This window comes from Homo sapiens, chromosome 16 (genome assembly GCF_000001405.40).
Source record: "Homo sapiens chromosome 16, GRCh38.p14 Primary Assembly".
NCBI classification, from domain to species: Eukaryota; Metazoa; Chordata; class Mammalia; order Primates; family Hominidae; genus Homo; species Homo sapiens.
In genome coordinates this window covers 15,133,968-15,146,122 of record NC_000016.10, presented here as the reverse complement: position 1 = coordinate 15,146,122, position 12,155 = coordinate 15,133,968, and the positions used below count along the sequence as shown (strand labels likewise).

At 64.1% G+C, this 12,155-nt stretch overlaps 1 protein-coding gene, 1 non-coding gene and 1 pseudogene across 10 annotated transcripts in view, besides 1 other annotated feature; 2 read left to right on the top strand and 1 right to left on the bottom strand.

Moving 5' to 3' along the window:
- Positions 1-12,155, bottom strand: part of PDXDC1 (pyridoxal dependent decarboxylase domain containing 1) — a 178,484-nt gene that overhangs the window by 7,096 nt on the left and 159,233 nt on the right. For 8 of the 9 annotated variants that reach the window (XM_017023065.2, XM_047433790.1, XM_024450195.2 and 5 more), the window contains one exon: positions 6,713-7,244. The exons of the other annotated variant lie outside the window; for it this stretch is intronic. In XM_017023065.2, coding sequence (XP_016878554.1) covers positions 7,147-7,244 — 98 coding nt within the window. In that variant the 3' untranslated portion in view covers positions 6,713-7,146. Of the gene's footprint in view, positions 1-6,712; positions 7,245-12,155 lie in introns of those variants that run through there. 9 annotated transcript variants of the gene reach the window in all.
- Positions 1-12,155, top strand: part of PKD1P6 (polycystin 1, transient receptor potential channel interacting pseudogene 6) — a 29,735-nt pseudogene that overhangs the window by 8,751 nt on the left and 8,829 nt on the right.
- Positions 7,821-8,428: an enhancer, noted in NCBI's record as "H3K27ac-H3K4me1 hESC enhancer chr16:15231552-15232159 (GRCh37/hg19 assembly coordinates)". NCBI's record gives its function as "activates a minimal SCP1, AML or CMV promoter by ChIP-STARR-seq in primed H9 embryonic stem cells {active_cell/tissue: H9 hESC(primed)}" and the evidence as "EXISTENCE:reporter gene assay evidence [ECO:0000049][PMID:30033119]".
- On the top strand, positions 11,978-12,048 carry MIR6511B2 (microRNA 6511b-2). The gene has a single exon (NR_106965.1). It is a non-coding gene; the product is annotated as a microRNA 6511b-2 (primary transcript).

Genomic DNA, 12,155 nt, shown 5'->3' with positions numbered 1-12,155 from the left:
TCGTGACAGTGGCCGGGCACCGCTGCCAAATGTGGGTCCCGCATCTGCAAGCCCCTCCCTGGGTCCCCTAGGGTATGGGGTGGTTCTGCCACTGCCCTCGCTCCCCCACCTTGGGGTGCCTCTCCCCCTGCTCGTGGGGGAGACCCTGCCTGGGATCTGCTTTCCAGCGAGGAACATACTTTGGAGGGAGACACACGTGTTCTTTTCTGGAGCTCTGCAGTGGCCACGGCAGCCCAGCCCGCCAAGCACCCTGGAATGAAAACAGCCCGCTGCCGTCTGGGCCTGGCCTGCACTCTGCTGCCTGCGCTCCAGCTGGCTGAGGCCGGGCACGTCTGCGGGCACAGCGGCGGGGGCGTCACAGTCTCCCTGCAGAGTGAGCGCAGCTGGAAAATGCAGCTCACGCCCTTTCCCAGAACACCTCGCTCTTCATGGCTTGGCAGCTGTCCTCGCCTAGGGGCCGGGGTGCCCAGGCACTGGTGGCAGGAGAAGGGCTACATCTGGGGCTGAGGCGGGCTGGGTCCTTTTCTCCCTGCAGCTCCCAAGGCCCAGCCCTGGCCCAGCCTGGCGTTCCTGACCTTAGCAGCGCCATGATCTGAAGACAGGCTGGCTTCTGTCAGGCCACCTCGGAAAGGGCTTTGTGCCCAGGCAGAGGCGGAAGCCAGCTCTTCCTTCTGGTTGAGGCAGGAATGAGGCCAGCGCTGGGGCAAGCCCATGCCCAGGGAACGTCACAGCTGTGGGAGTACAGGGGCTCCGGGTTGTGAGCCCGTCCACTGTGCATCGTGGCCCTGGCCTCAGGATGGCTCGTGCCATCATTGGCTGTGCCCACAGCCGAGTGGGTGATGGGATTCCGGCTGCCCCGCTGGATCTGTGCTGCTGCCCTCTCCAGGGCACTGCTGTGCCCGCACAGCCGGGCGCAGATGGCCAGTTTGCTTGGCCCCCCCCACCACCCTCTTCCTACCTTGGCTTCCTCCATTGACACTCTGGACCCTGCTGGCTGCCCGGGGAGGTGTTTGGGGGATGGTGTTGGGGGAGGAGGAGGGCCTCTTGAGCCTCTGTGCCCATCAGGAGCATAAGGTCAGTGCAGCACCTGCCCACCCAGGCTGTGAAGGGTGGGAGTGGAGAGGGATGCAAGGGGGTCACAACGCCTGGCTCCATGTCAGCTGTGTGCAGGGGCACCAGGAGCCGGCCCTCATTCTCCCCTTGAACTGGAAGGGTGGCCCCGACCCCAGCGGCAGGTGGCATACGTATGAAGCGCTCTCCTTCCTACACCCACAGGTGGGCTTGTCTCCAAACGGCCCTTTTTGAGCTGGCTGTGTTTTTCCATCCGTGTAGGCAAGGACATCGCAGACTCCCCTTTCTCATCTCCCTCGTTCAGCCTCCGAGGCCGGAGTCTCCATCCCTGTGCCTGCCTGTGGGTCCCGGGAGGACCTGAGGCTGCCCATGTCACCCCCGGCGTCTCATCCTGGGAACAGTTGAGCCATGGGAGGGATCTGTAAGGACAGAATGCCGCTGAGCCTGGGGCTCCCCGGCTAGTCTCACACCCCGTGTCCGGGACCCAGAGAACCTCGTGCAGGGCTCTGTTGCCTGGGGCCTGGCAGCCTCGTCCTCTATCAGAGGCTGCAACCCCCACCCCTCGTGGGGCCAGGGTTGTGGCCGGCCTCCCTGGCCCTCCCCATGGAAGTGGTAGGCGGAGCCAGCAGCCGTCTGCCCAGCCCGGGGCTGCACTGTTTTTTTTCAAATGAGCACCGTCCCAAACTGCAGCCTGTTAATTTAAACAGGATCATTTCCGGCCCTGGAAGCCGCCTCACTCTCCTTAAATAGAAAGGAGCACAGCGCAGAGGGAAACAGAAGAGGTCATGGCTCGGCTGGCCCAGCGAGGAAGGGGCCACAGTGGGGGTGGCACTGCTGCCTGTCCCCTGTCCTCTCCAGCGCCCACACTGCACCCCATTTCCTCACCCTGGGCCTGCTCTCGGGAGGGACGGGCCTGGGGGTCCTCTTGCTGGGCGGAGGGGAACCGGCTCCTCCAGGAGAGGACGGGGCCTGGCAGGGGGCATGGGGCCTCCCTGGGTCTGGCGTCCTGTCCTGCCCCTGCCGAGGGAGGAGCGGTTACATAAGCTCCGCAGGTGGCCCCTCCGAGCCGGTCCCCCCAGCCCAGTTTCCAGTGAGGCGGCCAGCGCGGGCAGGGGTGCCGGGCCTGGCACACGCCCGCCGCTGACCACACGCGTCTGGAATGTGCAGATGTTTCTTTGGGGGCTCCGTCCGGCCCCCAGACCCCACTCAGCATCTGGTCTGGGAAATGGGCGCCTGGGGCACTCAGCTCTGAGTGTGAGGCTCTGAGGCAGGTCTGGTTTGTCTGGGGCCATTCCCTCTGTTGTGGATTGGGAGGGCCCCGGGAGCTGCCCCACACCCAGGGAAGTTCTCAGTCCCACTGTTGCACGCCCCGACCCCGGCTCCCCCGGCCCAGGAGCGCCTGTGGGGCAGAAGGCCCAGCCACAAGACTTCCCGGGCCCTGCCAGCCTCAGGCTTCACCCACCCTCGCGCCAACTGTGGGCAGAGCCCAGGGGGAGGGCAGGAGAGCCAGCGCCTGGCTGGGAACACCCCTGAGGGGCCGAGGCTCCAGGGCGAGGGGGCCCGACCTGGGGTTCACACGCCCGGGTGGCGGGCAGACCCGCTGCAGCATGAGACACGTGTCAGATACCTCGGGCCGGCAGGCTGGCCCTGCTGCCCACAGCCCTGGGACGTGGCCCCACCTGTGACAGGGGTGTGGAGGGGCAGCCTCCAGGCCTGGCCACACCCTCTGCTGTTGCTGCTCCTGCTCCAGGATTGGCAAGGGTGCTGGGAAGGGGTGAAGACCCGTACTGTGGCCACACACCTGGGACTTCCTTCTCCACCCAGTGGTGCCCCAGCAGCCGCTAAGGAGCCCGCTGGGTCCCACGCTAGGATGGTCCTAACTCCTCCTGCCTTCCAGATCGGACGCTCGGCGCTGGGGGCCCCTTGTGTCCCGGGGCTGGGGCACCGTCCTGCCCCCCATGGGGGTGTACTTCTCCCAACAAGCTTGGCTTCAGCTTCCCTGGGAGCACATCCTGGCCCTCGGGCACCCATCAGGCTGTCCCTGTGCACCTGGCTCCCACCCTTCCAGCTTATAGCAGGAACTGGGGTGAGGAGTGCGTGGGGCAGCAAGGGCTTGGGACCCCAGAGGACCCTGCACTCTGCTCTGTGCTCTTGCCTGGGCTTAGGGCCGCTCGGTGGTCCTGCTGCCAGATGCCTGGGCCCTGCTGTGTCCCCCATCCTTGCAGGGAACCAGAACGTGGGGGCAGGGCATCAGACAGCGGCGATGATGTCACCTGGCGGGTGCAGAGGAAGCCCGAGGGGCGGGGTGGGGGGGCTGGCGCGAGGCTGCCTGGCTAGGCCTTGGCGTTCCCCCAGAACGGCGATGGCAAAAGCAGATGCAGACGTGGAAAAGTACGGGAGCAAGCGGGGTGAGGACTCCACGGGGATCCCTGTACTGGTCCCTGTCCCTGAAGCCCACACCTGAGTCCTGCCCAGGGCAGATGCTTCCACACCCAGGGGGCACCTGAGTCCTACCCAGGGCAGACGCTTCCACACCCTGGGGGCTGGGGGACTGCACCTGGCTCCTGTCTGGGCCCCAGCTTCATTCCACTGCCCTGGGCCCTGGGAGCTCGGCCGAGCGGGGTCCCCAAGACCTTGCTGCATTTGTGGGCCTTGGGCTGGGGTGAGGGCCGGGAGAAGGAGCCAGCCTGGAGCCTGGCACGCAGGGAGTGCATGGCCAGAACCGGTGACAGGCGGGGCTGCCTGCTGGCATGGAAGAAGTGTCCATGGCACCCCCAGGCCTGGTTCACAGTGGGATGGGTGGGGAGCGGGGGGGCTCTGGGGTCCTCGGCTGACCTGCCCCCACCCCTGCCCTGGCTTGTCAGCTCCCAGCAGCAGCCACTCTTGATGGATTTTCCAGAAAATGAGGTGTGGCCAAACATCTTCAGGCTTTTCCTTCTTTCCTTTCTCCCGTGGCCTGGGTGGGAGCTGCTCCCCATGCCTGTGCCCCTCCCCGGGGCAGTTTCACAGCTGTGTCCCTTCCAGGGGGCCTGCCTGTGTTCACCGTGGCCTCTGCAGCACCTCTCGCCCCTTAGGGCTGCTGCGCCTCAGGTCCTGGTGCCTCATTCTCCCTAAAGCATTGGTTCTGCTGCCGCCGCAGCCGCTGAAAAGTCCCTCCTCAGGTCTAACTGCAGTTCCTTACAGCACAGTGTTCCCCCTCGGGCATGGTGCTTGGGCAGCGGGTGTGAGTCCAGCTGCCTCACCCTGTCTCGTGAATGGCCTCTTGCTGGTCTCCCAGCCGCCACCCTGTCCCACCCCACGGCGGGGATGGTGTGGATGCCTAGCAGCGTGGCTGTGGGCCCACCCATCCTTATGGGCAGTGGGGAGCACCTCAGCCTGTGTCCCTACCTTGGTGTAGAGGAGGGGACGGCAGAGAAGCAGGGTTCAGTTAGGGGGGAAGCGGTGGCCCTGCCGGAGGGGCCGTTCCCTGTGTGCCTGGCCCCCAGATCCTCTCCCCTCCCGGAGCCCAGGGCACAGGCATAGGCTCTCTGAGTGTCCCACAGCCCCTGGGGGAAGGGAACTGCACCCCCAACCGTGCCCTCCATCCGCAGATGGAACGAGAAGCTCCGGGAGCCAGTGCCCAGCGTCTCATCTGTCTGGGCGCCCAGCCCAGGTGAGGGCTCGGCTCCACCGTCCGTGGCTGGGGCTGCTTCCTGGCACGGAGAAGGCCTCGGCTGCTCTGTCCCCTCAGCTGGGGTGGCCTCTGGTCCCCTTCTTTGTTGGTTCCCTTTTCAAGCCCTTGCCCTGGCCCCGGGCCCCACCAGGCAGCCTGTGTGTGCGTCTCTCCTGCGCCGGGTAGGCTGCTGCGGGAGCGGAGCTCCGGTGGGAGGAGCAGGGCTGGCTGGAGGCTGGCAGGGCTGGGCGGGTGCTCAGGGCTGGAGGCCGGCAGGGGCTGGGCGGGTGCTCAGGGATGGAGGGTGGCAGGGACTGGCAGGGGCTGGGCGGGTGCTCAGGGATGGAGGCCGGTAGGGGCTGGGCGGGTGCTCAGGGATGGAGGCCACCCCGGCTTGGGCCTGGCTGCCGGGTGGTCATTGCTGGGAAGAGCAAGTCTAGGCAGAGGCACCTGCTGGGTCACTCGTGGGGAGGGTGACACCTGGGGAAGTAGAGGCCCGTGGCAGGAGGTGAGGTCTCGGGGTCCTGGGGAGCAGGGGGGTGGTGTGCAGACCTGCGGAGCCACAGTCCCTGTGCCAGGAGCACTACTGGGAGTGCGTGGGACCAGGAGGGGTGCCCAGGGTGGGCGGCAGGGTGACCCCCGAGGTGCTTGAGGCCGAGGGGAGGTGGAGTTCTCGGTTTGCCCCAGCTCTCTGGCTTCTCACCTCCACATCACCAGCTCCAGGACCTGGTTTGTAACTCGGGCAGCTCTGAAAAGAGAGACATGCTGCCGCCCTTTGGTTTCTGTTGCCTTTTCTTCACTGACTGCTGACATGGGATGTCTTTCCCATGGCTGTGACCAATTGTGCTTCTTTTAATTGCCTGGTTTTTCTTTTTTTGTTTTTGGAGTTTTCTCTTTCTTTCCTCCCTCCCTCTCGCCCTCCGTCCTTTTTCTTTTTTTTTTTTTTTTTTTTGAGATGGAGCTTCACTCTTGCAGGATGGGGTGCTGGAGTGCAGGGGCGCGATCTCAGCTCACTGCAACCTCTGCCTCCCGGGTTCAAGTGATTCTCCTGCCTAAGCCTCCTGAGTAGCTGGAATTACAGGTGCTTGCCACCACGCCCAACTAATTCTGTAGTTTTGGTAGAGACAGGGTGTCTCCGTGTTGGTCAGTCTGGTCTTGAACTCCTGACCTCAGGTGATCCGCCCGCCTCAGCCTCCCAAAGTGCTGGGATTACAGGCAGGAGCCATTGCACCCGGCTCTTTCCCCTTCTCCTTTTCTTCTCTCTCTCCTCCCTTTCTTTTCTTTTTTTTTTTTTTTTTTTTTTTGAGATGGAGTCTCGCTATGTCACCAGGCTGGATTGCAGTGGCGTGATCTTGGCTCACTGCAACCTTCGCCTCCCGGGTTCACGTGATTCTCCTGCCTCAGCCTCCAGAGTGGCTGGCACTAACAGGCTCCCGCCACCACGCCCACCTAATTTTTGCATTTTTAGTAGAGATGGGGTTTCACCCTGTTGGCCAGGATGGTCTCGATCTCTTGATCTCATAATCCACCCACCTTGGCCTCCCAAAGTTCTGGGATTACAGGAGTGAGCCACCGTGCCCAGCCATCTTTCTTTTCTTGCTTTCTCTTTCTTTTCTTTCGAGACCGGGTCTTGCTCTGTCGCCCAGGCTGGACTGCAGTGGCACAGTCATAGCTCACTGCAGCCTCGACCTCCCTGGCTCAAGCGATCCTTCTTCCTCAGCCCCCCGAGTAGTTGGAACTACAGCTCCACACCACCATGCCTGGCTGATTCTTTTTTTCCTTGTAGAGATGGGGTCTTGCTATGCTGTCCATCCTGGTCTCAAACTCCTGGCCTTCCCAAAGCACTGGGATTACAGGCATAAGCCACCACAGCCAGTTTCCTTTTCTTCTTTTTAACTGGAATAGTTGACTTTTTCTTTATTAGCTGTGTGTCAGGAGGGTATTTTTGGCCTTTAGTATGTCGTCTAAGTTGCTAGTGCTTTTCTGAGATTGTAGTTTGTTTTCTAATTTTATTTATATTTTGCGTAGAAGTTGTGTATTTTAGATGGAGTTAGGTCGGCTGGTCTTTGATGTTTTATTTATTAATTATGTATGTATTTATTTATTTTTGAGGTAGAGTCTCGCCGTTTCACCCCAGCTGGAGTACAGTGATGCGATCTCAGCTCCCTGTAGCCTTGACCTCTCTGGGCTCAAGTGATTTTTCTCTCCTCTACCTCCCGAGTACTTGGGACCCCAGGCGCATGCCGCCATGCCTGGCTAATGTGTATTTTTTTGTAGATACGGGGTCTCACTGTGTTGCCCAGGGTGGTTTCAAAATCCTGGGCTCAGGCGATCCTTCCGTCTCAGCTCCCACGGTGCTGTGTTACCGGCGTGTGCCCCAGTGCCTGGCCGTCTTGGAGGTCTTGTTTCTCTGGGTTTATGCCTCAAGGTGGCGCCTGCTCCCCTGTGCTCCCTGGTAGCCTGGTAGTGAGCCTGCTTCTCACACAGTCATACCTGGTTGTGGTCCCACAGTGGGACCACCCTGTTGGGTTCAGAACAGGAGATGGGGGCCCCTCGAGTCTGTGTGGGGGCTGTGGACAGGGTTGGGAGACCTTGGCTCTGTGGGGGACTGTGGACAGGGGATGGGGGGCCTTGGCCCTGCGTGGGATGGGTTGGGGGTCCGTGCCCTTCCTGGCCCTGGGTGGACAGGTCCAGGTGGCACTCGGCATAGGGCTGAGATGGGTGCAGAGGGCTGAGGCCCCCAGGCCTCTCCCGGCTTGGTTTCCCCAGATGAGTGTTCATTTGGGTCTTCCATCAGAAAGGCCCCTCCTGACCTCTGGGAGTGGGGAGCTCAAGGGTGGGAGGCCATAGCTTGGGGATGCTGGCAATGTGTGGGATGGGCCCAGGGATGGCCTCTGGCCTACTAAGGGCTCTGGCCCTGACCCACGGCCACTCACTCCTCAGAGACGTCTCCCACAACCTGCTCCGGGCGCTGGACGTTGGGCTCCTGGCGAACCTCTCGGCGCTGGCAGAGCTGTGAGTGTCCCCCAGTCGTGCCAGCATGCGGGGCTCACTCCGGGTGGGCTGGCGGCACCGCCTCTTGCTGCTCAGCTGTGGGGGCTTCCGTCAGCTTTGCCGAATCCCCCCTCTCTTCCAGGGATATAAGCAACAACAAGATTTCTACGTTAGAAGAAGGAATATTTGCTAATTTATTTAATTTAAGTGAAATGTAAGTTGTGGTTCTTTGGGTGGGGTCCTGGCTGGACCCCAGGCCCCCAGTATCCCTTCTGCCCTCCCAGTTGGTCTGTGTCCCCTTCCAGGCTTGAGACCAGATCCTGGGGGCAGTTCACTACCTGCTTGGAGCCCCCCAGTGCCGGCTTGGTTGGGGCAGGGGAGGCGGTGCTGTCAGGGTGGCTCCAGGGCCTGGTTGCCAGTGGGGGGCTGGCATAGACCCTTCCCACCAGACCTGGTCCCCAACACCTGCCCCTGCCCCGCAGAAACCTGAGTGGGAACCCGTTTGAGTGTGACTGTGGCCTGGCGTGGCTGCCGCGATGGGCGGAGGAGCAGCAGGTGCGGGTGGTGCAGCCCGAGGCAGCCACGTGTGCTGGGCCTGACTCCCTGGCTGGCCAGCCTCTGCTTGGCATCCCCTTGCTGGACAGTGGCTGTGGTGAGTGCCGGTGGGTGGGGCCAGCTCTGTCCTTCCCAGCCAGGTGGGACCTGGGCCCTGCAGACACTGGGCAGGGCTCAGGAAGGCCTCTCTGGGGGGGGGCTCCGGGCCAAGGGAACAGCATGGGAGCCTGTGAGTGCGGCGGGCGGATGGGGGTGTGTGGGGTGGAGCCAGGAGGAGCAGAACCCGGGGTCCAGTGGCTGCCTCTTCTAGGTGAGGAGTATGTCGCCTGCCTCCCTGACAACAGCTCAGGCACCGTGGCAGCAGTGTCCTTTTCAGCTGCCCACGAAGGCCTGCTTCAGCCAGAGGCCTGCAGCGCCTTCTGCTTCTCCACCGGCCAGGGCCTCGCAGCCCTCTCGGAGCAGGGCTGGTGCCTGTGTGGGGCGGCCCAGCCCTCTAGTGCCTCCTTCGCCTGCCTGTCCCTCTGCTCCGGCCCCCCGCCGCCTCCTGCCCCCACCTGTAGGGGCCCCACCCTCCTCCAGCACGTCTTCCCTGCCTCCCCAGGGGCCCCCCTGGTGGGGCCCCACGGACCCCTGGCCTCCGGCCAGCTAGCAGCCTTCCACATCGCTGCCCCGCTCCCTGTCACTGCCACACGCTGGGACTTCGGAGACGGCTCCCCCGAGGTGGATGCCGCTGGGCCGGCTGCCTCGCATCGCTATGTGCTGCCTGGGCGCTATCACGTGACGGCCGTGCTGGCCCTGGGGGCCGGCTCAGCCCTGCTGGGGACAGACGTGCAGGTGGAAGCGGCACCTGCCGCCCTGGAGCTCGTGTGCCCGTCCTCGGTGCAGAGTGACGAGAGCCTCGACCTCAGCATCCAGAACCGCGGTGGTTCAGGCCTGGAGGCTGCCTACAGCATCGTGGCCCTGGGCGAGGAGCCGGCCCGAGGTGAGTGTCTGCTGCCCACTCCCCTTCCTCCCCAGGGCCATCCAGATGGGGCAGAGCCTGGTACCCCCGTCTTGGGCCCACACTGACCGTTGACACCCTCATTCCCACCGGTCTCCAGCGGTGCACCCGCTCTGCCCCTCGGACACGGAGATCTTCTCTGGCAACGGGCACTGCTACCGCCTGGTGGTGGAGAAGGCGGCCTGGCTGCAGGCGCAGGAGCAGTGTCGGGCCTGGGCCGGGGCCGCCCTGGCAATGGTGGACAGTCCCGCCGTGCAGCGCTTCCTGGTCTCCCGGGTCACCAGGTGCCTGCCCCCACCCCCCGAGGGGCCATAGGTTGGGAGATCTCTGAAGCAGTGGGGCAGAGCCTGCGGCTGGGGAGTCTCAGGAGGAGGGAGGTGGGAGCTGGGCCGGCCCTGGTGAGCAGGTGGCGCCGGCCGGTGGGGCCGTTCCTGTCAGCTCTGCAGATGCAGAGGTGGACGCGAGCTGGGGGCAGCCTCCGGACACTCCTGGGCACGCCATACGGGAGGTGGCCTGCGCGGGGATCCCTGCCGGTGCCCACAGGCCCCGTGGGTGGGTGCTGCTGTGAGCCTGGGGTGGTGGGCCCTGCTCTCCAGGCTCTGAGCCTCAGTTTCCCCATCTGGAAAGGGGGACAGTGATGGGGCTCCCAGCGGGCTGCTGTGAGGGTGGGAGGATGGAGGAGTGCCCTGAGCCCCCTGGCATCCCACACCCGCCCCCAGGAGCCTAGACGTGTGGATCGGCTTCTCGACTGTGCAGCGGGTGGAGGTGGGCCCAGCGCCGCAGGGCGAGGCCTTCAGCCTGGAGAGCTGCCAGAACTGGCTGCCCGGGGAGCCACACCCAGCCACAGCCGAGCACTGCATCTGGCTCGGGCCCACCAGCCGGGGTGCCCGGCGCGTGTGGCCCTGCCCGGCGTGGACGTGAGCCGGCCTCAGCTGGTGCTGCCGCGGCTGGCGCTGCCTGTGGGGCACTACTGCTTTGTGTTTGTCGTGTCATTTGGGGACACGCCACTGGCACGGAGCATCCAGGCCAATGTGACGGTGGCCCCTGAGCGCCTGGTGCCCATCACTGAGGGTGGCTCATACCGCGTGTGGTCAGACACACAGGACCTGGTGCTGGATGGGAGCGAGTCCTACGACCCCAACCTGGAGGATGGCGACCAGACGCCGCTCAGTTTCCAGTGGGCCTGTGTGGCTTCGACACAGGTCAGTGCGTGGCAGGGCCGTCCTCCATGCCCCTCACCCGTCCACACCCATGAGCCCAGAGAACACCCAGCTTGCCACCAGGGCTGGCCCGTCCTCAGTGCCTGGTGGGCCCCGTCCCAGCATGGGGAGGGGGTCTCCCGCGCTGTCTCCTGGGCCGGGCTCTGCTTTAAAACTGGATGGGGTTCTCGGGCCACGTCGCCCCTTGTTCTCGGCCTGCAGAGGGAGGCTGGCGGGTGTGCGCTGAACTTTGGGCCCCGCGGGAGCAGCACGGTCACCATTCCACGGGAACGGCTGGCGGCTGGCGTGGAGTACACCTTCAGCCTCACCGTGTGGAAGGCCGGCCGCAAGGAGGAGGCCACCAACCAGACGGTGGGTGCCGCCCGCCCCTCGGCCACTTGCCTTGGACAGCCCAACCTCCCTGCTCATCTACTGTTTTCCGTGTTTTAGTGCTGGTGGAGGCCGCGCGCTCTTCCCTCTCTGTTTCTGATGCAAATTCTACGTAACACGACAGCCTGCTTCAGCTTTGCTTCCTTCCAAACCTGCCACAGTTCCACATACAGTCTTCAAGCCACATATGCTCTAGTGACAAAAGCTACACAGTCCCCCAGCAATACCAACAGTGAGGAAGAGCCCCTTCCCACCCCAGAGGCAGCCACTGTCCCCAGCCCATGTCCCTGTTGCTGGATGTGGTGGGCCGGTTCTCACCCTCACGCTCCCCACTCTGGACCGGCCAGGAGGCTTGGTGACCCTGAGCCCGTGGTGGCTGCTCCTGCTGCTGTCAGGCGGGGCCTGCTGGTGCCCCAGAGTGGGTGTCTGTTCCCCAGTCCCTGCTTTCCTCAACGGGCCTGATTGGGGGTCTGCCCAGAGGGGTCGTCTGAGGGGAGGGTGTGGGAGCAGGTTCCATCCCGGCTCAGCCTCCTGACCCAGGCCCTGGCTAAGGGCTGCAGGAGTCTGTGAGTCAGGCCTACGTGGCAACTGCGGTCCTCACACCCCCACATACGTCTGTTCCCACACGCATCCCCCCAGGGGCCCTCAGTGAGCATTGCCTGCCTCCTGTCAGGGTCCAGCTGGCTCCAGTACACCAGAACGCACACCCCAGTGTCCTCTGCCCTGTGTATGCCCTTCCGCCGCCCAGGTTGGAAGGTGGCAAACCGGATGAGTATCCTGGGAGGGGGTGAGCTCACCGGCAGTGGCCAGGCCCCTGGGAAACCTGGAGTTTGGGAGCAGCATCCTCCACGGGTCCCCCAGACCTTCCAGCAGGCCAAATAGACCTGTGTTGGAGGTAACCCCACTCCCACGCCAGGTGCTGATCCGCAGTGGCCGGGTGCCCATTGTGTCCTTGGAGTGTGTGTCCTGCAAGGCACAGGCCGTGTACGAAGTGAGCCGCAGCTCCTACGTGTACCTGGAGGGCCGCTGCCTCAATTGCAGCAGCGGCTCCAAGCGAGGGGTGAGTGTTGAGCGGGGTGTGGGCGGGCTGGGGATGGGTCCCATGGCCGAGGGGACGGGGCCTGCAGGCAGAAGTGGGGCTGACAGGGCAGAGGGTTGCGCCCCCTCACCACCCCTTCTGCCTGCAGCGGTGGGCTGCACGTACGTTCAGCAACAAGACACTGGTGCTGGATGAGACCACCACATCCACGGGCAGCGCAGGCATGTGACTGGTGCTGCGGCGGGGCGTGCTGCG